Source organism: Homo sapiens, chromosome 9, assembly GCF_000001405.40.
Source record: "Homo sapiens chromosome 9, GRCh38.p14 Primary Assembly".
Taxonomy (NCBI): Eukaryota; Metazoa; Chordata; class Mammalia; order Primates; family Hominidae; genus Homo; species Homo sapiens.
This window is the reverse complement of record NC_000009.12, coordinates 90,774,197-90,801,071: the sequence shown is the minus strand read 5'-3', so window position 1 is coordinate 90,801,071 and position 26,875 is coordinate 90,774,197. Positions and strand designations below refer to the sequence as shown.

The window sequence follows — 26,875 nt, the reverse complement described above, 5'->3', positions numbered from 1 at the left end:
ACGGCATCCAGACCTTCTTGATAACACTGGTTGGCAGTGCCTGTTTTAAAAAGCTTTACCCTAAGCCAAAATGCGAGAAGCAAAAAAATATATATATAATGTGCTGGATTGTAATTGCCATGGAGAAAATATAGGGATGGGACTATTTACACTTATTGGAGCCCCCAGCCTTTTCTGCTTCCAGGGTTATTGGATTTTCATTCATTTTTGCCATTATTTTTTCTAAACCTGTTAAAAGAAAACTTCAGCAGAATTAAATTTAAAGCAGTTTAATTGAGTAATGAATGATTTGCGAATGGGGCAGCTTCCAGAATCACAGCGGATTCAGAGACTCCAGGGATGCCTCATGGTCAGAACATATTTATAGACAAAAAAAGGGAAGTGACATACAGAAATTGGAGGTAAGGCAGAGAAACAACTGGATTGGTTACAGGTTGGCTTTTGCCTTCTTTGAACACAGTTTGAACACTCAGCAGTGTATGAATGGTTGAAGTATGGCCACTGGGATTGGCCAAGACTCAGCTATTGTTAAAGGCACATACTCCTAAATTAGGTTTTCAATCTTGTCTGCCTATTAAGCTAGGTTACAGTTCATCCACAAGGACTCAAATATAGAATACAGAGTCCTTCTCAGATCATACTTAGGTTGCTTTAACAAACATAAATGGAAGATTTTGATAATGGTTATATTTGCTTATCATTGGACTTAATTTTGCTTCAACTACCCGAAAAAATAGCCATTGTTCCTGAGATGGAGCCTGCAGAATGTCTACAGATGGTTTTCAGAGTTGTCAGCATTATTGGAGATGAACACTAGGGGACCAGTGTGTACAAAGCAAACCCAGCCTGCACAAAGATTGCAGTTTTCTCAGGCTTTCACCTGATGGAAATGAGGGGGAAATTCTAGATCCATCTACAACCTCCTTCCTTTACACTGCTGTGTTCCTTTCCCCCTTTGAGTCACCTTCCGCATTACTTAGTATCATGTAGTAATTTTTTTTTTTTTTGAGACGGAGCCTCACTCTGTTGCCCAGGCTGGAGTACAGTGGCCCGATCATCTCAGCTCACCGCAAGCTCTGCCTCCTGGGCTCACGCCATTCTCCTGCCTCAGCCTCCCGAGTAGCTGGGACTATAGGCGCCCGCCACCATGCCCGGCTAATTTTTTGTATTTTTAGTAGAGACGGGGTTTCACCGTGTTCGCCAGGATGGTCTCGATCTCCTGACCTCGTGATCTGCCTGCCTTGGCCTCCCAAAATGCTGGGATTACAGGCGTGAGCCACCATGCCTAGCCTAAAAGATGGTTCACATTATGTATCATCAGGGAAATGCAAATGAAGACAGTAAGATATCAGTATGGCCCAAATTCGGAACACTGACCGCAGTGAACACTAGTGAGGATGTGAAGCAATAGAAATACTCATTCATTGCTGTTGTGAATGCAAGATGGTACAGCCACTGTGGAAGACAGTTTGGCAGTTTCTTATGAAACTAAACATCCTCTTACAACATGAGTAATTATAAGAGGATTGTCCTTCTTGGTATTTACCCAAAGTAGTTGGTATTTACCTAAAGTAGTACCCAGTAATTGTGCTTCTTGGTATTTACCCAAAGGAGTTCAAACCTTATGTTCACACAAAAATCTGCACACAAATGTTTACGCTGGCTTTATTTACTAAGTTTATTGCCAAAACTTGGACACAAACAAGATGTCATTCAGTAAGTGAATGGATATATAAACTCTTGTACATCAGTGTAATGGAATATTGTTCCACACTAAAATGAAATGCACTAGCAAGTTATGAAAAGAAATGGATGAAATCTAAATGCATATTACCAAGTGAAAGAAGCCCTCTGAAAAGGCTACATACTGTATAATTTCAACAGGTGATATTCTGGAAAGAGCCAAACTATCTGGATAGTAAAAAGATCAGTGGCTGCCATGGGCTGGTGGGGAGGGCAGGATGAATAGAAGGAGAACAGAGATTTTTTAGGGCTGTGAAAGTATGCTGTATGATATTACAATGGTGGATACACAGCACTATACATTTGTTAAACACCATACAATATACAACACCAAGAGGGAACATCAGTGTAAACTTCAGGCTTTGGGTGATTATGATGTGTCAAAGTAGGTTCATCAATTGTAACAAATGTACCAGTCTGATGGGGCTGTTGATAATGGGAAAGGCTGTGCATGTGTGAGGTCAGTGGGTATATGGGAAACCTCGGTACCTGCCTCTCATTTTTACTGTGAACCTAAAACTGCTCTAAAAAATAGTGTTTAATTTAAAAAAATAGTTTTTTTGGTAACAGTGGCAAGTATTCCTAATAGGCAATCCCTTAAAAGAATAAAAGCACAAAGGAAATAGAAACATCCCAAATTTCAGACATAATCATCATTACCGTTAGGTGACCCTTACAAAATTATCTCTTTCTATATGTACACATGGCAATAGATATAAAAATGGGCATCATTTTAAATATAATACATTTATTATACATTTTATCCATGTTAAATATGATATTTAATTCTACTTAAATTTAACAGAATAAAAAATTCTGAAATGGGATCTAAAGAATTGCTGATTTTATAGAAATGATTCTTTGCCACAAATGTATCATTTCTGAAATGACCCCACTTTGATTAAAGGAAAAGAAAAGTGACAATAATAAGCAGTTTTCGTCATTTCTTCTAAACCATGAGCTTTAATTTCAGACAGTATCAGTAACTCTGCTATGATACATGAACCAATTACCTCTCTCACTCCACTTCACTTCAGCTCACCTCTCACGTTTCCCTAGTTATATGAGTTTTACATAGTTAAGTTTAAAATTTTTGATTTCTGTAACCATAAACCCTCAGTGGTCTCTTCTTAGTTCTCCATTTAAAAGGATACCTTATGCACCTCCAGACCTTTCTACCACCATATCTCATTCCTACTTTCTTTGTTGATGAGCTGGATGGACTCTGTGAAGATGTGATCCCACATACTGCATCTATCAATGCTCTCCACTTTCAGGATGTTATTCTGTTGCTGTTGTATTGCAGTGACATCAAGGTGGGCACATTGTGTCTCCATCCTACTTCCCTTTGGCCTAGACTCGGTTGATTTTCCTCCCTTGCCCCTTTGGCATTGAATGTTGTTTTGGAGAAATGTGAGAACAGCCAGTCCTTTGTCCTCTTTTAGGTGACTTGCTCTTCTTTCCAGGCTGCTGGAGGAAACTTTCTTTAACTGAGATATTAAGAAACTTGACAAGGATATATACTGATACAGATCAACCAGCATCTTTTATTTCTTTTTCTTTTTTTGAGATGGAGTTTCACTCTTGTTGCCCAGGCTGGTGTGCAATGGCGTGATCTTGGCTCACTGCAACCTCTGCCTCCCAGGTTCAAGCAATTCTCCTGCCTCAGCCTCCTGAGCAGCTGGGATTACAGGCGCCCGCCACCAAGCCCAGCTAATTTTTTGTATTTTTAGTAGAGACAGAGTTTCACCATGTTGGCCAGGCTGGTCTCGAACTCCTGACCTCAGGTGATCATCCTGCCTTGGCCTCCCAAAGTGATGGCAGGAGTCACCACACCCGGCCATCTTTTATTTCTTAAACACAATGCACTCTTTAATGCACATCATAATCACCCAAAGCCCAAAGTTTGCATTGAGGTTCCCTCTTGGTGTTGTATATTGTATGGTGTTTAACAAATATATAATGCTGTGTATCCACCATTGTAATGCGCAGATTTAGATCTTCATTCAAAGAATTTTTTCTTGTGTGATTTTAAATACCTTTTTATTTGTTAAGTGCTTTTCTTCAAGGATATTAATTAACTTTTTATCATCTAAGTCTATTATCTTTTCTCTGATTGTAGTAATCTACTTTGTTTTTTCTTCCTGGTTCACAGTGATTTTCTCTCTCTCCCTTTCTTTTTTTTCGGGAACTAAATGTTTAGCTGGGTCTGCTTTATTTCTTGTTATTTCTAATTTACCTGTAGGTAGGTTTATTGGTCCTCAAATTATTTCTTTGTCTCTGGTTCTCTCTATCTCACTCTTTTTAGTTATTTTCTCTTGGTTATTCAATCGGTTCTTGAGTTTTTTAAAAAATTGAATGCAGGCTCTTATCAAATTTTGTAGCCTGTGCACTTAAAAATTCTTTCAGACTGGATTTTATTTTTAATTTGTGCATGTTATTTTCTTTTAAGGTTTGCATAGCTGCTAGTTCATTGATTTCATCTTGTCCATACTTGGCAGCTTTCTTCAGACTTTCACTTTGCTCTGCCCCTTTGTGTGTGGCAGCTCCTAAATCCTCATGTCAGAGCCTTTTCTTACCCCTTTTCTGGATTACATATGACGGCTTAATATTCCTTTTGAGCTTGATTTTCTATAACCTTTGAGCGTGGGAATGGTGGGGGTGGGCTTAGCTGGAGTTGTGTTGCACAAACTGGGCCCCTCCTTCCAATGTGAGACTGTGAGGAACATGCAGGCTTCGCACTTCATTGAGGGAGGGAGAAGGCTGAGCTTACTCTGTCCAGCGAGGTTGGGGGCATCTGTGAGTTTCAGCTCATTCCCCCAATTAATGTGGGTCGTTGGAGTCCTCACACTCTGACAAAATCATGCCACATTGCTGCTATTTCCTTTTGCACTAATCTCCACTGCAGCCATTTTCACTACTCCACAGTCAAAAATGAGAAAAACTAAGGATAAACAATGGCCCCTTCTTCTCTCAAGATCTGAGTGAGAATTGTTCAGGATTTTGTAGACGCACAATATATGGTTTCTGGGAGGTTGGAGTGTGGCCTCATTGTGATACTCTCAAACTTCTGGTTTTTATATGAGCCAGCGCTTTTCAAAGTGCATTTTGTTAAGCGGTTCTCCTTTTCTTGTTTGGTTACCACTTGTAACTTTAGCACTTTTGTTTCTTCCCGCTTCCCTTTTTTCTTGAGGTAGAAAGATGAGGAAAGTAAGGATTCTTTTCTTCTAGATGGTGAGGCCTTGATATTCTGTAAATGTTTCACTATGTTCTTTCAGAATGTAATGGCCCACATGTTTTTTACTATAGAATATACGCTGTACTTTTTTTTTTTTGTGACAGGGTCTTACTCTGTCACTCAGACTGGAGTGCAGTGGCGCAATCACAGCTCACTGCAGCCTTGGCTTCCCCAGCTCAAGTGATTCCCCCACCTCAGCCTCCTGAGTAGCTGGGACTTTTTGTATTTTTAGTAGAGATGGGGTTTTACTACGTTGCCAGGCTGGTCTCAAACTCCTGGACTCATGTGATTGCACATTTTAATATTTAGAATGTAAGGTCCTCATTTTTGTCTCTTCTAAATTAAAAAAATACACAAGTTACACATGATATATCTGTTAAGGTGCTTTAGGTTGCAAGTAAAATAATAACCAACTCCATGTATTGAAATAATACACTTTTATTGACACACAAAGGAGAATATTGCATAGTTAGGACAGCATCAGGTGTATTTTTATGCATATTACATTAAATTTAGATAAAATTAATTATTTTCATATGTAGGTATACCTTTAAAAAAAAAGTAACAACCCTATTGTGTCCTATGAAGGGAAGTTAATTTTGATAGACCAGCATGATGGAGGTGAGTGGCTTCTCTCAGTGATTTTCACCTTCTGATCACATTCATCCAGTTGCTGAAATGACACAGGATGTAGCCAGAGGAACAACTTCCTTCTGCTGGTATTCCCTAACCAATTCAACCAGATATAAAAGTGACTTTTCACCTACAAATGGTAAACTTCCTCATTTTTCTTTTGTTAGTAATCTTTTGAACAAACAAAACAGAAAAGTTACTTAAAGACCAAAGATAGTGTCTGAAGTGTGATCACATGTGTTTAAACCCAGCGGTAGGTGCACTGGCCACGGGTCAGGAAGCACGGGCCATAGTAGTCTCAGCTCTGCTACTTTTTGTAGGTGTGCAGCTCTGAGCAAGTCAAGTTTCCTCTGTGTACCTGATTCCTTATTTTTTTGTGAAATTCCAGGGAGCAAACAATTCAATAATTGAATTAGGGTCCTTTACTTGCCAGACATGACCCAAGCCACTGGAGATTCAAAAGGATGGAAAAAACTTATGCTCAAAAATAACTCCTCCCTTTCATCTATTTCAATGGGTAGCTAATCATTTGCTTAACAGAGTACTCTTTTAAAATATAATTATATAATTAGAAGGTAGTTCAGCTGTTATTTTTCACTGTAGTGAAAATTAGATGGTTTTTCTCATACCAAGATCTTTTCATTCTTTTTCTTTTTTATATTTTTCAAAGTGCGGTTCCATTTTTAAGTTTTCAAAAGATATAATTCACATAACATCCAGTTTACTTGTTGAAAGTATACAATTAAATTGTTTTAAGTGTATTCACAAAGTTGTACAACCATCATCACTATCAATATTAGAACTTTTTTAAGCACTTTTTTTCTTTTTTGTGAAGAATGGGGTCTCTTTATATTGCCCAGGCAGGTCTCAAACTCCTGGGCTCACACTATACTCCTGCCACTGCATCCTTAAGTGCTAGGATTACAGATGTGAGCCACTGCACCTGGAAGAACTTTTTTAAACCACAAAACAAAACCCCATACCCATATCACTTCTCATGCTTCCCATCCCACACAATCCTTTCCCTCCTCCCCATCCAAGGCCCTAGGAAAACCTCCCATCTACTTTTTGTCTCTGTAGACATGCCTATTCTGGACATTTCATATAAATTGCATGATGTAATATGTGCTCTTTGTGACTGGCTTATTTACTTAGCATAATGTTTTCATTCATGTTATAGCATACATCAGTGTTTTACATTTTTAGTACCAAATAATATTCCATTGTATGGATAGGCCACATTTTATTTATCCACTCATCGGTTTCTGCTCTTTGGCTACTATAAATAATTTTGCATCAACCATTCCTATACAAGTTTTTGTGTGGGTGTATATTTTCCTTTTTTCTTGAATATATAACTAGGAGTGGAATTGCTGAGTGATATAGTAAATCTATGTTTGTCATTTTGAGGAACTGATAACTGTTTTCAAAAGTGGCTTCACCATTTTCAGGTTTCCACCAGCAAAACAGGAGGGTTCCAATTTTTCCACATCTTTGTCAACTCTTGTTATTGTCTGTCGTTTTGATTATAGCCATCCTAGTGGGCGTGAAGTGGTATCTGATGACTTCATTTTCATTTCATTTATGACTAACAATGCTGAGAATCTTTTCATGTGCTTCTTTGTCATTTGCATATTTTTGGAGAAGTGTCTATTCAGATCATTTGCCCAGTTTTCAATTGAGTCACTTATCTTTGTATCATTAAGTTGTAAGAGTTCTTTACATATTTTGAATACAAGTCTCTTATTAGATATAGAATTTCCCAATATTTTCTCCTGTTCTGAGAGTTGTCTTTTCACTTTTGTGATGGTATCATTTGCAGAATAAAAGTTTTTAATTTTGATGAAGTTCAATTTATCGACTTTTTTCTTTTGTTGTTTATGCTTTTGGTGATGTAGCTAAGAAACTACTATCTAAGGTCATGAAGATTTACTCCTATGATTTCCTCTAGGAATTTTATAGTTTTAACTCTTACATTTATGCCCAACATCCATTTTGAGTTAATTTTCATGTACAATATGAGGCAAAGATCCAATTTCATTTTTTTTGCATGCAGATTTCCAGTTGTACCAGTTCAACAGTAGTTGTTAAAACAATTATTCTGTCCTAATTGAGTTGACACACTTTTTGAAAATCAATGTAAAGGTTTATTTCCAGACTTCCAATTCTATTTCATTGATCTGTATATTTATCTTTATAAAACTACCTTTTCTTTATTTTATTTTATTTTATTTTATTTTATTTTATTTTATTTTATTTTATTTTATTTTATTTTATTATACTTTAAGTTTTAGGGTACATGTGCACAATGTGCAGGTTAGTTACATATGTATACATGTGCCATGCTGGTGTGCTGCACCCATTAACTCGTCATTTAGCATTAGGTATATCTCCTAAAGCTATCCCTCCCCGCTCCCCGCACCCCACAACAGTCCCCAGAGTGTGATGTTCCCCTTCCTGTGTCCATGTGTTCTCATTGCTCAATTCCCACCTATGAGTGAGAATATGCGGTGTTTGGTTTTTTGTTCTTGCGATAGTTTACTGAGAATGATGATTTCCAATTTCATCCATGTCCCTACAAAGGACATGAACTTATCATTTTTTATGGTTGCATAGTATTCCATGGTGTATATGTGCCACATTTTCTTAATCCAGTCTATCATTGTTGGACATTTGGGTTGGTTCCAAGTATTTGCTATTGTGAATAGTGCCGCAATAAACATACGTGTACATGTGTCTTTATAGCAGCATGATTTATAGTCCTTTGGGTATATACCCAGTAATGGGATGGCTGGGTCAAATGGTATTTCTAGTTCTAGATCCCTGAGGAATCGCCACACTGACTTCCACAATGGTTGAACTAGTTTACAGTTCCACCAACAGTGTAAAAGTGTTCCTATTTCTCCACATCCTCTCCACACCTGTTGTTTCCTGACTTTTTAATGATTGCCATTCTAACTTAAAACCACCTTTTCAAAAATTATAACAGTGGGAAAATTATGACAGTGGAAAGTATCTGATCTAACCAAGTTTCATCTTGCCATTAGCCTCCAAACTGCCCTTAACCATTCTTGGGTCTGAGCTAAGTTATCCTGGGGAGACATTTAGTTTATAGTTTAAATGACAATAGTCCTTTCCCCAAATTAAACCACCTTTGTAAAGCTTGTGAAAGGCCACCAGGTTAGGAGGGTGTGAGGAGCCTGAATTCTGCTAAGGTGTAGACATAAATGATTACCAGCTATTATTTAGAGGTCACAAGTTTTGCAAGTTTCCCAATTACTCCTGCAGATAACATCACCGTTGCAGAAACTAAGATTCGCTTTTTGAGATACCTTTTAGGTTTTTGAATTTCTGACAACCAATGGCTTCACCTGGATCCACCAACCCTGCTGACCCTGCTGGCCCTGCTGACCCCACTGACCTCCCTGACCCCACCAACCCTACGGACCAGTCATGTGCTCCCACCCAGAAACAGACTCCTTAGCCTGCCATACTATCTTTGAAAAATCCTAGCCTCCAAATTTTCCGAGATTGATTTGAGTAGTAACTTCATCTCTCATGTGGTGTGGCCGGCCTTGTGTCAATTAAACTCTTTTATTGTGATGGTGTGGTCTCAATAAATTGGTTTTGCCTGTGCAGTAAGCAGGAAGAACCCATCAGGCATTTACAAGTACTAAAGAGTTTTTAGTACTGCAACTTTGTAGTAAGCTTTGAAATTAAGAAGTTTGAGTCCTACAACTTTGTTCCTTTTCAATATTGTGTTGGCTATTATGGTTCCTTTGCATTTTCATATGAATTTTAGGATCAGCTTGTCCATTTATGTGAAAACAAAAGCTGAGATTTTGATAGGGCTTGTGTTGAATCTCTACATCAATTTGAGAATAAATATTAAATATTCTTATCAATGAATGTGGTCCTTTTGTGGATCTTCTTTAGCTTATTTTTTAAAGCATGGTTTTCGTTACTTCTTGGAACATATTATAAACCAAAAGTAAATTCTAAGCCTCCCCTCCTCCAACCATCTGAATGGACCCCCTCCTCTTGGCCAAGGGCATTCCAAAGTTAACCTGAAAATCCCATTCAAGCCATGATAGGGGGTGCTGTACATACCTTATCACACCCTCCTCCTTTTTGGAATAGTACTAAAAGACTCTTTAAGTCTAATAAGAAACATTAACAATCAATTCTCTCTGAAGCCTGCTACTTGGAGGCTTCATGTACATGATAAAACCTTGGTCTCCATAACCTCTTATCATAACTCAGACATTCCTTTCTATTGATAATAACTCTTTCAACCAACTGTCATCAGTAAAGCTTTGAATGCACCTATGACCTGGAAACTCCCACTTCAGTTGTCCCACCGTTCTGGACCAAACCAATACACATCTTACACATATTGATTGATGTCTTATGTCTCCCCAAAATGTATAAAACCAAACTGTGGCCCAATCACCTTGGGCACATGTTCTCAGGATCTCCTGAAGGCTGTGGTCACAGGCCATTGATCACTCATATTTGACTCAGAATAAATCTCTTCAAATATTTTATAGAGTTTGACTCTTTTTGTCAATAATATTTATAATAACTCCTTTGAAGTCTGCTAAATGCACCATCTGAGTCCTTATAAAGGCAGTTTCCATTGCCTGTTTTTTTATGTCCCAGTGATATGTTCCTGATTCTATGAGTGTCTCACTATTTTGTTGTTGAAAACTCAACATTTTAGGCTGGGCATGGTAGCTCATGCCTGTAATCCCAGCACTTTGGGAGGCCGAGGTGGGCAGATCACTTGTGGTCAGGAGTTCAAGACCAGCCTTGCCAAAATGGTGAAACCCTGTCTCTACTAAAGATACAAAAAAATTAGCCAGGTGTGGTGGCACACATCTGTAGTCCCAGCTACGTGGGAGGCTGAGGCGGGGGAATTGCTTGAACCCAGGAGGCAGAGGTTGCAGTGAGCCTAGATCACACCACTGCCCTCCAGCTTGGGCAACAGAGCGAGACTCTGTCTCAAAAGAAAAAAAAAAGAAAAGAAAAGAAAAGCCAACATTTTTGATAATATATTATAGCACGTCTGTTACTGATTGCCCTCTGAGGGTTTGTTGTTGCTTGCTTTAGCATGTGTTTAGGGTCTTGGCTGGACTCCAGTGAAATCTATTTCCCTGACAATGTGCAGCCTATGATGTTGCTCTTCCGTGAGTGCCATCTTGGGTGTGGAAACTGTCTCTCTGACCATCAGGATGACTGTGGTCTGAGTGGGGATCGCTTTGGCTCTCTCTGTCTCTAATCTCCTTGTTGAGCTTATGTCCGGTTTGTTATTGGTGTCACAACAGATCTTAGCCTGTTCTAGTGGCCTGCTGATTTCTCTGTTGTTCTCAACAATGCCCTAAGGTATAAATTCCTCCAGTCAAATCCCATTAAAGTCAGTGCTGTTTGCAGGACAGCTGTTACCAGTCTTTGAGGCTTGCTCCCACATCGGGAGACCTCCGAACTGCCTCTTTTCCTCTGTTAGTGTTCCAGCTGGTCTATGTTTCTCTTGTTGCTCCTGGCATCATTGTTGCTCCTGGCATCTATGTTTTACTTGTTGCTCCTTTTAATTGTTAAGGACCTTCTTGTTTTTGAGAATACTTAGCTGGGACTTTGTCCTCTATTTCAAATAAAGTCGGCCCCCTTAGGGTGAGCTAGGGAGCTCTCTGCTCTTACAACCTGCCTTTCCACTGGGAAGAAACTCTGCTCTCTTGCACCGGACCTGGGAGTGGAGACAGTGGCCTGGTTCTCCTGGGCTGATACCCTGACTCTACTAGCAGGGCACTGGGTGGGGTCAGTAGCCTTCTATGAGTGGAACTTCTGCCTTATAAGGGTGCTAGGGAAGTGGCAATTAGAGTCCCTGGGGTAAAGCATCCACTCTACGAGTGGGGGCTTGGTGGGGGAAGGGAGCCCCAGTTCTCTTGATGCAGTTTCCTGGGATGGAGCTTCTGCAACCGGGAGATGGGTGTCCTGGGATGCAGTTTCTGCAACCAGAAGATGGGGGTGAGGGGATGGGAGAGGCCCAAGGCCTGCCCCTGCTGGGGTAAAACTGGAGCTGTAGACTGGAGCTGGGGGAGAGCACACCCATCTTCTTGGCAGCCTCCACCCAGAGTAGAGCTTGTGTTATGCTGAACACCGGGGAGGAGATGAGAGCAGGTCATGGCTCAGATGATGCGGGCTCTTGTGTTCTTACTGATATTTTATCATTTTTCTCAAATAAATAGTTTTCTACTTGCTGTGTGTCTTTAGGACAATTCCCAGAGATTTTTACGTGTTTTATTTTTTATAATTTTTGCCACTCAAAGAATTGTTTCATTGGAGAGAGTTTCGACGAAACTATCCACTCTTTCATTCAAGAACTGTTTCTCTTCTTTTTTCCTGAGGCACTGAAGTTAAAGGGTTTTTATTGATGGGGTTGGGGTGGGGAAAGCAGTGTGTGCCTCTCTGGGCAGGCAGGACAGGGCATGGAAAATACCAGGTGGAACACTTTGGCCAACCAGATTCCAAGGACCTGAGGAACATGGGCCAGGATATAGGCCTCCTACTGTCAGATTTTCTTGGGGCTGAAGTATTAGTAGCAACCTCCTCATTCCTGACCCAGACAAATAATCTTTGTGCCCTCCTTGGAGCCTATGCTGAAGATTACAGATGCCTATCCCAGACAGCAGAAAATTAATCTTACACAACCGACACTGTGTGACAAATAACTAGTCTTTTTCTTTCAGTTTGACAGTACTCAAATGGATTTGCTTATTGAAGTTCATACATGGTATGATGAGTGACCCACAGGGGAAATTTAGCTAAATATAAAAGAAAAATGAGAAAAATTATAACATTATTTTGGAGAGTCTTCTAATATAAAATATTAAATGAATGGATGTTAAATTCTGTTACATATTACTACACTGGGATTTTCTTTCAGTTTGACGGTACTCAAATGGATTTGCTTATTGAAGTTCATACATGGTATGATGAGTGACCCACAGGGCAAATTTAGCTAAATATAAAAGAAAAATGAGAAAAATTATAACATTATTTTGGAGAGTCTTCTAATATAAAATATTAAATGAATGGATGTTAAATTCTGTTACATATTACTACACTGGGAATCATCATCTATTTTAAGTGTACTCGGAAAAAACTGCCTAGAAACAAGGAACAGAGATTATATTTTCTGACTCAAATATGTTTCAGTATGAATAGGCATTTCCTGCTTGTCCATACACATCTGTTTTATTGAAAAATGTTTGAAAGAGTTGATTGATTTCAATTTCCAAGTTTGATCTAGGGTCGAGGTTGCTACCGTGAAACTAAATTCAAAATGACAAGATTATTAAGTTATGTATATTTTGTTATTATTAACCCAGGTAGCTGTAAAACTTGATTGCCAAGTAGATATGGAAGAGATGATTGATTGACCATAATTGTCCACAGTTTTGAACTCTTGGCTACACTTTCACCTCTGGGTCTGTGAGTCCTCAAGATGCAGCTCACTCCTCTCCAAACGGGGTGCTCTGTGATTTGTGTCAAAGACAAAATAGATCTCAAGGAAACTCTGGGGGCTTTGAGGCCAGGTAGGGATAAATGAGTGCAGAATTTGTAAGTAGAACAGACTTGATAAAGAACCCTCTGATGTTTCAAAAATAATATATAATAGAAAAATTAATAAAGGGGGTAAAATATAAGACACCCCAAATCCCAATCTTAGAGGCAAATATGCTCCAACTTTTGTTAATATTTTAGTATCTGTCTCTACATACAGAAATGTAAGTGTAAATGTTGTTACATATGTGATTTAGTAAGCTGACTATTGGATTAGATAGCATGTTGTGGAAATACTTCCATACTGTCTTCTTATTGACTATATATCATTCTCTTGAATGCATGAACCATGAGGTTATTAACCAACCCCTGACTGATACACAGTTGTTTCCAGGGTTTTGTTATTATGACCTACTATACAGGGAACACTCCTGTTTATACATCTTTGATCCTTGATAAATCTCTCTAAGAGATAAATTCCTAGGAGAAATGTTGAGAGTCAGAGGAGATGCTGTTTTATTTGTGACATTTGTTGCTAAATTGCACTTAGGAAAGATTCAATTCTGGTTTATACTTCCACCTGGTACAGGCTGTGCTCAGCACAGGGGTGCTCTCTGAGTCTGGTGGGGCTGAAACCTAGACCACCCTCTGTTTGACCAGCAGGGAGCTGCATCTGCCCCAAGGAAGGGGTGCCTGTCCCTTCATCATACACAGTTTCTATAGGAACAGGCAAGCTCCTGGTGTCAGGCTGTGAGGGCAGGCATTTCTGCTACCTAGAGCCATTAGTTCTAGGCATTATTAATGTTTTCATTCTGGGGTAAAAGAGATCTCATTTTTGTTTTACCTCTCATCCTAGAGGTAAAAGAGATCTCATTTTTGTTTCTAATTTGTATCATTTTAACTATAGAAGTTGAAAACTATTTTATATGTTTGTTGACTGTTCATATTTATTTCTTTTGTAAAATCCTTATTCATCAAATTTCTCAATATTTTTTATGAGATACTAATCTTTATTGATTTACAAAGTTTTAATGGATTATATGTTCATCAATTATGTTATTAACATTTTCTCGAGTTCATTCTTTAGTTTTCTCTTATTTATTCATTTATTTGTGCCAACAATATGATTTAAACGTTTTATATGGAAAAAAAATCAACTATGATTTCTAGCTTTGATACCTTTGTTATTCCAAATATATAAAAATGTTCACTCCTTTTTTTTTTTGAGTCTTGCACTGTCGCCCAGGCCAGAGTGCAATAGTACTATCTCAGCTCACTGCAACCTCCACCTCCTGGGTTTAAGCCATTCTCCTGCCTCAGCTTCCCAAGTAGCTGGGATTACAGACGCCCGCCAGCATGCCTGGCTAATTTTTTTGTATTTTTAGTGGAGACGGGGTTTCACTATGTTTGCCAGGCTGGTCTCAAACTCCTGACCTCGTGATCTCCCCATCTTGGCCTCCCACAGTGCTGGGATTACAGGCGTGAGCCATAGCACCTGGCCACCTTTTCACATTTAATTATTTGTAATCCATTTGGGATTTTGTTTGGTCATAAGGAGCAAGATAGAGATTCTATTTCTTTTTCCCTAGTGGTTAGTCAGTTTATCCAACAATCCATCTTCTCCTCACTGATTGGTACTTAAGCTTTATCAAATGCCAGATTGCTTAAACACCTGGGTTTAGTTCTGGTGTTTCTTTTGCTTTTCATTGATCTATCTAATATCCAATAGGATGTTGCTGCTTTAATTACTACAGCTTTGTAATTTTGCTTCATTATAATTTTTTTTTTCAGGATTTGAGAAACTCTGAGGGCAAAAGCTTCTCCCCTCACAAGATGAGATTTTAACTTTTATTATCAGTACACATAGAAAATACGTATGTGTATGGATTCATAGACAACAGATTCTCTGATTCAGTTTTGAGAATAACTCAAACCCACCAATCATTGATTGGCACCATGTTGGGGGATTCACGCTTCTATTTTGAGAGTGGGATGGATAGCACTCAGCATCTCAGTGTGTGCATCATCACTGGTGCACAAGTCCCCTCCAGATGTCAGCTTTGCTCTGGGACTGGTTTGCTCCATCCCTGGGGGCAGAGGTACATCCAGCAATTTTGCTCCGGGGTCCTGTCTCTAGGATAGAAGAGGTTTTAGAATCTCTAAGTTACAGTTTTGGAGAACTCCAATATTTATAAAGTTCTTTCACACGTTTTACTTCCTAAGACATCTCTCTCTCTCTCTTTGTGTGTGTGGGTTAAAGCTGCTTTCTGAAGTTAAGACTTTGTCCTTTATTGTCACACAGTTTAGGTGTTTGGAGACTACTATTACCAGCATGGCAAAGTGGCCTACAGCACTGACCGTGGAGCCAGATTTGGTTCAACTCCCAAGTTTATAACCTACTAGCTGTGTGACTTTGTGCAAGTTACTGAGCCTCTCTGGGCCTTGGTTTCCTGATGTGTAATAGACTCTCCCTCTTGCATCTGGGCTGCCCTATTACTGCTTTGACCAAGAGAGTGTGGCAGAAGTGACGGCATTTTTATTTTAAGCCTAGCCTTTTAGAGGATGGACAGCTTAGGTCTTGGTCTCTTGGAACCCTGAACTGCCATGTAAGAACTCCAAAGATTGCTGGAGAGGCCAAAGGGTGGGGCAGAGTTGGAGGTGCAAAGCTGAGCCCAGTCTTCCCCAATCTTTGCCAAGGCTGTGTTAACAGCCTGAAAGCCAGCTGAGTGCCTAGTTAATGCCATGTGAAGCAGAAGAATCACCTAGCTGAGCTCCGCCTGAGCTTCTGAGTCACAAAATCGTGAGATATTTAAGAATGATTGTTGTTTCAAGGCACCAGGTTTTGGGGTAATATGTTACATAGCTTACCTAGTAATAGCTAACCAGAACAGGTAGTGGTGTGAGGTTGTGCCTAGGGCCAACTTCATAATCTGTGGGGCCCAGTACAAAATAAAAAATGGATCCTGGTTCAAAAAGCAAAATAAAATGGCCATTAAAGGTATTAAAATATAAAACCTTTTTTCTCTTCTGTTGTCTCTTTCAAGATGTCAGTGTTTTTTTAAATTTGCTATTGAATGTCATTCTAACTAAATAAAAATAGAAATTATAAATTATTAATACGGACTTTACCATTTATCTTTACATAGAATTTGTTATGCCAGTTTTAAATGTAAACATAAAAACATTGGACTCGTATGCGGAATCACCAAAATTACACAATTTGCACTTTGTAGTTCTTATGTGCTTATATAGTTCATTCTTTACGAGAACAGTGGTGATGCTGCACAAAACAAACTCAGTCATTTCTATTTCACTTCTTGCTATGTGCACAAGCACCAGCACCCTCTCAGCACCAGCAGTCTGCAGGCAGAGTCTGCCATTAAAGGGGTCGTGACTACCTTGGGAAATACACTGTGGTCCATTAAAGGGGTCGTGACTACCTTGGGAAATACACTGTGGTCCAGAGCACACCAGGCACCAGGAATCGTGACCTTTTATCTGGATGCAGGAAAGAGAAATGATCTTTGAGGTCCAGGGTGCATATTGGAGTGGCGTAATAGGAGCTAGGGGGAGAGAAGTTATCATCCTTCTTGTGGGTGTTAAAGAAACATCCAAATTAGGATGGCAGTCACGTGTATATTTCACATTCCGCGGCTATTTTCATGGCCTTACTGGGAAATGTGCCTGGGAATTAGATTTTCTTATACACGTGTCAAGCCCTGGGAGTGTTATTTGAAAGCGTGCTATTTCTTTATGAAATTTAATACTTTTGTCCTTGGAAAATGTCTGAGATATTGCTGACCAAGGATGTTTTTAGTATACAGCTGATAACACTGTTATTGTTGTACTCTGATACATCTCGATAGCAAGCCAAATTAACATGACATTCTGCACCTTTACGATCTACCATCTAACTTTCCTAGATAAATTCTGAGAAATAAAAATAAAATTCTAAGTCCCCTAACTAACTGAATGGACTCCCTCTTTGTCCAAGGAGCCTCAGAGAAGCCTTAAAAACTGAGTTGCCAGCCATGCCAGGCACACAGGAGGTGGGACACGCCTTGTTATGCCACCTCCCTTACTGCCATCAATCTTCCTTCTCTAACAGACAGAAACCAGCTCTTTTGAAAGACTCGCTTCACCTCTGATTTACACAACAACTGACTGGCATTCCTTCCTGATAAAAGACCACTGGCCGTAGACTGGCTCTGGCAGGTATTCACAGGCTGCAGACAACATGCCCCTGTGTCCTTGCTTTCACTTTGTGACATACAGAGTGAAATTATAATGCAATTAAATGTAAGTCTTCACCCCAAATGAATATGAGATGAATGTAACATGGATGTTTGCTTGCTATGAATGTGTGCACCCCCTTCATAATTATTCTCAGCCCTTCCTATAACTATTGAATATGTATACTTAGCTAGCCCATTCAGCCCAAATTTCTGTCTCACCTTTCCCTCTTTCAAAGTGCCTGCTTTTGGTTTCTACCAGAAGCTATGCTTCCCAGCCTGCACAGTGGGCAGCCTGCTGGATGCAAGCCTTTATAAGAAATAACACTCTCCTCTCCAAATTTATGAATCTCATGATTCTTTAGTTAACAATTACCCAAGCCAGATACTTCTTACTTGATGAATATTTCTTAGGTGAAGAGCAGCTGAACTTTAATACAAAATTCACATATTTATTTGTCTTTAAAACACTGTGTAATTGGCTGGGTGCAGTGGCTCACACCTGTAATCTCAGCACTTTGGGAGGCTGAGGTGGGCAGATCACCTGAGGTCAAGAGTTTGAGACCAGCCTGACCAACATAGAGAAATCTCGTCTCTACTAAAAATACAAAATTAGCCGGGTGTGGTGGTACATATCTGTAATCCCAGCTACTCGGGAGGCTGAGGCAGGAGAATCGCTTGAACCCAGGAGGTGGAGGTTGTGGTGAGTGGAGACTGTGCCATTGCACGCTAGCCTGGGCAACAAGAGCGAAACTCCATCTCAAAACAAACAAACAAACAAACAAAAAAACATGGTCTAATCCATTCTACAGCACATTTCTACAATCATCAAAAGTGGAAGCTCAATATGGAGAAACAGAGACATACCTGCAAAAATTTTTGTATACAGTTTTTTCAAGATCTCAGCTTTCCAATATAAAACATACATACTTTATGTTGACAAAACAATGAGAAATTGTCCTTACATCTCTCTGCCAACTGCATCTTCTTCCAACATCTATTATATATGCAATGTCTACTGAGCATTATGCAGGCCTAAGCTCTGGGGGTGCAGGACAGGCAAGGTCTCTATTTTGCAGAAGCAAACAGTTTAGCAGGCAGATAGGCAATCAACAGTAAACTGATAAATATGTGATATGTAAAGGCATGTTTAATAAGAGCCCTTTCTTTTGAAACAGGACACAATTGCAGGTGCTGGTTATTATACCAAGGCTTTGACTAGAATAACATTATTAGGTGAAGCTCCAGCAAAGTCAACTTGAAAAGAGTCTCTATGGCCAACTGTAAAAAGTAAAGTAGAGGTTCCTCTTCAAAGACTTTCCTCCCCGTCTAATTAGGAATAAATAGTAACTTCTCTTAGAAGCAAAATTTATTCAAAGACCTGTGCTAACATTCTTAAATATCTGCTAGCCATAATAAAAAAATCAATATACAATTTATGTTCCTAGCTCCCACAATTTAGCCTAAATATTTGCCCTGGCATGCTTATACTGGTCCAAGCAAGCATTAGGTCATAGCCTGTTCCTCTTCCTTATTTAAAAGTGTTTTTACCTTTCTCAGCCTTCCACTAGTTACTTCCTCCTTCCTTTGTTCCCCTCTACCTTTGCCTCTTTTAAAAAGTTCTAAGTTGCTAGCCAATCAGGACAAATACAGAATGCGAGCTCTTGTTCCAGCCAATGGAAACTGGACACAACAGTAGGGTGGACACGTCAGGTTATAAATGACCCTGTCTCCTTTGTTCAGTGTACTCTCATGGCAAAACTGCTGGCGAGTGTACCCTTTCTGCAGGAAGTAAAAGTGGCCTTACTAAATAAATTAAATTTATGTTCAAGTGCTATTTCTTTATGGCACCAAAGAACAAGCATTTCAAACCAAGTAATTCCTGCTGCGCTTTATGTGAATAATCAAGCCAAGTGTAATAAGCCAAAAACTTATTCTGCACACAAATTGGTCTTACTATAATTTCTCTTTAGTAGAAAAGGAGGGCTAGAGAATCAGAGAAAAATTGTTTCAAGGGAAAACTGTAACACCCGTTACTGAATTCCAGCCCCGACTTGTTTTAGAGTGCAGATCGAATTACATCTCTTCCTACAATAATCCTCTAAAAAGTACCAGCTTATAATTTTCTTCATGTTTTTAGTTGTTGCCCTAATGAAATAGTTTCCTTTTTCTGTTCTGACACACAGATTCTGTTTTGATTAGCAAGTTTACTAATGTTATTTATCTCATGTAGTTTTACTTCTGAGAAAATTAGAATCATATATTCATAAGACTAGAGATAATTTGACAAAGCCTGTGAATCTCCCTCATTTGGAATCCCACCGGGCCCCATCTGTCTTTCATTGCAAATGCCCTGCTGCTAAAACTATACAAGCACCCTCCCTCTAGGCCCAGGGACTATCACGTAAGACGTCAGTGTGTGAGATTGCAAGGGCCAGTTTTGTGGGATAGAATTAGTTTAGAGCCTCCAAATCACAGATACCTAAACAGCTGGTAAAATAAGGGACTGTGCCTCCTGTGTTATTATGTATGTGGCACCCTTTTGTCCATCCTAACCGTAAAGAATTTCCTGCTTCCCATAGAATTAAAAGAAAATTACTGAGAGGATATAAAGACACTTTGTGACAAAGCTTGCTGGGTATAATACTCCCAGTTATGAGATTTATGCATATATATATATTTTATTTATTTATTTATTTATTTATTTATTTTTGAGACAGAGTCTAGCTCTGTCACCCAGGCTGGACTGCAATGGTACAATGTTGGCTCACTGCAACCTCTGCCTCCCAGGTTCAAGCAATTCTCCTCCCAAGTAGCTGGGATTACAGGCACTCACCACCATGCCTGGCTAATTTTTGTATTTTTAGTAGAGATGGGGTTTCACCATGTTGGTCAGGCTGGTCTTGAACTCCTGACCTCGTGATCCACCCACCTCGGCCTCCAAAAGTGCTGGGATTACAGGCATGAGCCACCACGCCCGGCCTATATATATATATTTAACGTTTATTATCAGCCGTCTTGGGACAAATTAGTAAAATACTGCAAAAATCATTGAGGCACAGCAAAAGTCTCTGAATTCCTTAGCTTAAAAGGCTTTAATAGTGCTTATGTTTTGTATAGCTAATTGCAATAAGTCTGTAACTAAAACCAAGATCACAGTAGCTCAACATATAGAATTGAGAGGTAGATAAGTCAATTTGTAACCTTGTCTTTGGCTTTTTGTTTGTAGGCTCTTGCATTACTGAAAAAATGTTTTAAGGACTAGCGAACACCTGTCTACATCCATCCCTGTCTGGCCTAGAACGTTTACATTGGCTATGCATCTTTTGGCTCTAAGTCCCTTGGCCATAGGCGTCCCACTGAGGGACAGGAGGGACCCAGAGCAGACAGCCATGCCACTTTGGCAATGCTATGGGACACAGTGAAAGTTTGGTGTCCATTGATGTTGCTTCTGGCAAATCTTGGCCAGAAGAGGGAGAATGTATAACAAATACAAAATTCTAAGCCCCCAATCAGGACCCCTTCTCTCAGCCAAGGGCATTCTAAAGTTAACCTGAAAAACTAGTTCAATCCATGATGGAAGTAGGGGTTTGGTGGGAAGAGGGTGTTGAACATGTCTCACAGCTGACCAGAATTAACATCAACACAGAGACCTGAAGACTGGTAGACTCTTTAAGTCTGAGAAGAAACACTTACAATCTATTCTCTTTGAAGCCCTGCTACCTGGAGGCTTCATCTGCATGATAAACCTTGGCATTCACAAACCCTTATCATAACCCAGATTTCTTTCTATTGATTCCAGGTCTTAAGATATTAACTCCCCCAACCATTTGCCAATCAGAAAATCTTTGAATCTGCTTATGACCTGGAAGCCCCTGCTTTTGAGACTGAACCAATGTACATCTTAAATGTATTGATTAATGTCTTAGGTTTCCCTAAATGTATAAAACCACCTTGGGCACAAGTCCTCAGGATGTCCTGAGGGCTGTGTCATGGACCATTGGTTGCCCATATTTAGCTCATAATAAAATATTAAATATTTTACAGAGTTTGACTCTTTTTGTTTGGATTGGTAACCATCACTGTGATCAAGACATAGAGAATTTCCATCATCTAAGAAATTGTCCCCTTGCAGCCAGTCCCCAATCCCCTAGAGCCTATTAAAAAATACAAAAAAAAAAAAACAAAAAAACTTAACCAAGTGTGGTGGCACATGCCTGTAGTCCCAGCTACTTGGGAGGCTGAGGTGGGAGAATAGCTTGAACCTGGAAGGCAGAGGTTGCAGTGAACTGAGACCACGCCATTGCACTCCAGCCTGGCTGACAGTGAGACTCTGTCTCAAAAAAAAAAAAAAATTGATTTCTGTCATCTGAGATTCGTTTTCTCTGTTCTTGAACTTTATTTAAATGAGATCCTTACATTTATGTAGTTTTTTTTTACGTCTCCCAAGGCTCTGTCATTCACATTTATGTACTCTTGTGTGTCCAGTTTCATCTGCTCAACTTCATGGTTTTAAGATTCAGCCATGCTGTTTATTTATTTTTTGTTGATTGTGATAACTGTGACTTATAATAAGAAATACACTGTATTTGGTCTTGTCCCTGTTTTCTGGCGTACAGCTCCTATCTGCCTTGGAATCTCCAAAATGGTAAATGCCTTTTTGTATGCTAAGGAGATGACTGATGGGGGATGGGGAGCTCCTAGATAGCCTCAGGATGGGGCTGGTTGCCATGGGAACCAATCATGTGATTAGCAGCTTGGAACTCTCAGCCCCAAGTGGACTTCTGGGGAGAAGAGTGGGGCTGAAGTCTGACTTGATCACCAAGGGCCCATACATTAATCAATTATGCGTATGTAATGAAACATTACAATGAAACATTCACAAAAACCCAAAAAGACAAGACTTGGAGTTTCTGAATTGGTGAACAATGGAGAGTGGTGCCCCAGGAGTGGCAATGGAAGCTCTGCGCTTCTTCTCACATACATTGCACTATGCATCTCTTCCATCTGAGTATTTATCTGTATCCTTTCTAGTATCCTCCATAATAAATGGGTAAATGTGAGTAAAGTGTTCCCCTGAGTTCTGTCAGCTGTCCTAGCAAATTATCTAACCTGAGGAGGGGGAATCCTTATATATTTATTTATTTATTTATTTATTTATTTATTTTTGAGACAGAGTCTCCCTCTGTCACCAGGCTGGAGTGCAGTGGCGCGATCTCGGTTCACTGCTACCTCCGCCTCCTGGGTTCAAGTGATTCTCCTGCCTCAGCTTCCCGAGTAGCTGGGACTACAGGCATGCGCCACCACGCCCAGCTAATTTTGTGTGTGTGTGTAATTTAGTAGAGACAGGGTTTCACCATGTTGGCCAGGATGGTCTCCATCTCCTGACCTCGTGATCTGCCCGCCTCTGTCTCCCAAAGTGCTGGGATTACAGGCATGAGCCACCGCACCCGGCTGAAAATCCTGATTTATAACTGGCTAGAAGTGCAGGTCACAACCTGGGGCTTGGGTCTGGCATCTAAACGGGGAAGAGTTTTGTGACACTAAGCCCTCAACCTCTGTGATCTGATGCTATCTCCAGGTAGATAGTATCGGATTAAAACTGAGTGGAAGGACACCCCGCTGTCCTTTGATGACCAGAAGTGTTCTGTACTGAGTATGGTAGGAGAAAAACTGTTCGTTTGTTTTTTTCAACTGTAATTATACAGAGATATATATTTATTTGTTTGTTGTTCTGTTGATGGATATTTGAGCTATGTCTAGTTTTTTTTTTTTCTGTTTTGAATAGGGCTGCTATGAATATTCTTGTGTGAGTCTTTTTTGTGGACTTACATTTTAATTCCTCTTGGATAAGTTCCTAGGATCTAAGAGTAGAATTCCTGAGTTATAGAGCAGATGGCTGTCTGGGAAAATGCCAAGAAGGTTCCAAAGGGGTTGTATCATTTTGTGTACAAGATTTGTGCAGTGTATGAGAGCTCCAGTTGCTTCACATCCTTGCCGACACTTGATGTTATCTGACTATCTTTTAGTGAGGGGATGGTGATATCTCACTGTGGTCTTAGTTGTCCTGATGACCAATGATGTTGAACATATTTTTATGTGCTTATGAACTCTTTTCTGTTATTTTTTATGAAGTGTTTGTCCAATATTTTGCCCATTAAAAATTAGATTGTCTTTTGATTATTAATTTGTAGAACTATAAAAGATATATTCTGGATTGAAGTCATTTGTCTGATACATATTTGGCAAATATTTTCTCCTAATCTACTGCTACCTTTTTCATTTTCTTATCATTGTCTTTTGATAAGCAGAAGTTAATTTTGATTAAATGAAATGGAACAATTTTCTTATTTTTAGATGAGTGCTGTTTTTTACCAGCCTGAGAACACTTTGCCTACCACATTAGATATTCTCTTATTATTTTGAGAAATTTTATTGCTTTTATGTGTAATAGAACTCTGATGCATCTTGAATTAATTTTTTGTATAGTGTAAAATAGGAAGTGAGTTATTAATTTTCTACACAAATATCCAGTTGTTTCAGCACTATTTCTTGAAAGGACTTTCCTTTTCCCTTTTTCATTGCTTTGATGCTTTTGTCAAAAATCTTGTAATTGTATACATGTGGGTCTACTTCTGGAATTTCTATTCTGTTTAATTATCTATTCATCCTTACACCAATACCATACTGTCTTGATTACCATACTACATTAAGACTTGAAATTAGGTATTTATTTCCCTATTTTATTTTTCAAGACTGTTTGGGTTATTGTAGGTCTTTTTCATTTCCATATAAATATTAAAAAATTAGCTTGTTAATTTCTACAAACAAGCCCTCTTTGGATTTTGGTTGGTATTGTATTGAATATATAGGTAAATTTGGGGAGAAATGATACTTTAACAATAGTGAATCTTTCCATCTATGAACATAGTATAACTCTCCATTAATTTAGGTCCTTTTTAATTTCTTTTAGTGATGTTTTATAGTTTTCAGTGTACAGGTCTTACACATCTTTACTTATTTCTAAGTATTTTATATTATTATAAAATGGTATGTGGTTTTTTTGTAAGTTTCATTTACCATTTTTTATTGATATTATATAAGTATGCAATTGAAATTTATATATTTACTTCGTATCCTGAGACCTTAGTAAGTTCACTTTTGTGTTATAGTGGTTTCTTTGTAAATTCCTTAGTTTTTTTTATGTAAACAGTCCTGTCATCTGCAAATGGAGGAAGTTTTATTTTCCTTTTCCAGCTTTATATTTTTTATTTAATTATTTATTTTTCTTGCCTTATAGCAATGCCTAGAACTTCCAGTACAACCTTGAGTAGAACTGGTGGATGTGAACATTTCTACCTCCTTTTTCATCTTAGGGAAAAGTGTTCATGTCACCATCAGTATGACACAGGCTATAAGTTTTCTATAGATGCTCCTTATTGGGTTGATAAAGTATCCTATTTCCTTATTGTTAAGTGCAATTTCTCCAAGAGTCTTTGAGGTCTCTTTTCAGTTGAAGGACTTTTAAAATGCCAATAAATTCAAAAAGCATTATTTCACAAACAGTGCTAATTATGTTCTGTTCTCTAAGCATCAACTCATTTAAATCTGAAATAAGGTCAGGGTGCTATTCTTTACATTTTCTGGCAGAGGAAACTGAGGCACAGGTTGGCAGAAAAGGTTCTCAAGATCAGACATCTAGGAAGTGGCAGAGCCAGACAGTCTGGCTCCTGAGATCATAGGCTAGGCTGCCCCTATATCCTTACGCACGTGGTTACTGTAAATCACTTCTGCCATCACTTGACCATCTGAAAGTAGCAGATGCTACTGAAAAACACCTTCTTTTTCGGGGTGGGGAAGGGATGACTGCTGAGGGTTTTAGTAGGAGTATATTTCTACAGCATGGTTACAGCATCCTACATTGCAGAAATGTAAGTTGACCTAAACTATGTATTCATACATGTGATTTCTCTTTTATTTCCTCAGAATATTAAAAAAATGAGGATACTGATTTTATTCCTCAAAAGAAGTTTAAGTCTTGCTTTTAGTTAGTAGCTACCTCCATAGCTTTCCATAAAATATATATTTTCCTTAACTCAAGAGATAAGAAAGCAACTGTCTTCATGACCCAAAGCAGTATCTTTTCAAACGTTGTATTTGGCAAGATAAACATATTTAGTTTTTATAATCTCTACAGTGTATGTTCTTTGCGCTTTTCCAGTATAATACTATATATTTTATATACAGCAACAGAAATTGGCATGCATATTTTTATATGCATCAATATGTGTATGTGAATTTATACATATACTCTGTCCATACGTGTATTTCGTTTAGGTGTGAAATAGTAACAATGGCTCCTATTTCCTCAGTGTCCACTTTGTGTAGGCAACCAGGGGCTTTATATTTTCTGTCTTTAATTCTTACAAAAATTTTGCAAAATAAGTATTGTCACTCGCATGATCCAATGAGAATTTGGAGACAGGAAAGATTAATCACTCCATTGAAGGAATACCGGTAGTAAGTAGTGAAGCTGGGATTATTTCTGGAATTTCAATCCAAACCCATTAGTGGTGGCGATTTGAATGATTCTTGCACAATGGCCCTAGTGCTGTGTGGCTGTCCAGAAGGAAGGACACAGGAAGGACAAGCGCTGGTGTTGAGGCAACGTGTGGGCAACCCTTGCTAGCACATGTGTTGTTTGGTGGCATGAGGTTCTCAGTTAATATGAACCACACCTGCTCAAGCTTGTTTACTGGAGGCACTGCTCCCTCAGCAGGATCTAATGGGAATGCCCTCATTTGGTTTTGGTCACAGTCCTGAGAGTGTGACAAACCACATAAAAGGGGAACCAGGCCTCCTACCAGGTGCCCAAGGGTGTTGCAGACCAGGGCCACCTCTTTTCTTCGATGTGAGTGCTGAGAAGACTTGCTTAGCATGTGCTGCTCAAAAAATACTTGGGAGTGAATGAATAGAAAAATGGACAAATGGACTTTTCTATGGTTCAGTCATTAATAGCCCCTGCCCTCGAGCCTACCGCCCCAGCCCAGCTGCTCATGGCCTATGGAATTTCCTCCTCACTTTGACAGTTGCACTAGCTTCACATGGCCTTTTGGGAATAGCACCTGTGCTACCCTCCAGGTGAACTGCTCTGTAGGGGGCAAATGTGAGCAAAGCGTTAGGCCCAGCCCACAGGGAATGTTTCCTTGTGTGGGGCAGTGGGGTAGGCCAGGCGCAGTGTCCAGGACACATGTCCACTGAGATGGGTTGTGACTGGGGGATGGAGCTAAAGATGCTCATGAAAGCCCAGGATGCCTTGGGGACAGTGGGAGGTTTGGCCTGGGATGACTCCCCTCCTCATCCCTAGGCAGACATGTGACTTTGGGTCCCTATGTCAAGTCCTGAGAGTTTTCAGTTTCTGCATCTGCAAGGAGGAAGTTGGAGCAATAATAACCAACATTTGTTA

At 39.3% G+C, this 26,875-nt stretch overlaps 2 annotated features.

Annotated features, from left to right (window-relative positions):
• Positions 5,969-6,138: an enhancer, noted in NCBI's record as "experimental_109072 CRE fragment used in MPRA reporter constructs". NCBI's record gives its function as "activates a minimal promoter by MPRAs in K562 erythroleukemia cells, with activity observed for both the introgressed and non-introgressed 9:93557301 variant alleles {active_cell/tissue: K562}" and the evidence as "EXISTENCE:reporter gene assay evidence [ECO:0000049][PMID:34662402]".
• Positions 26,306-26,365: an enhancer, noted in NCBI's record as "active region_28572". NCBI's record gives its function as "activates an Ori minimal core promoter by ATAC-STARR-seq in GM12878 lymphoblastoid cells {active_cell/tissue: GM12878}" and the evidence as "EXISTENCE:reporter gene assay evidence [ECO:0000049][PMID:35858748]".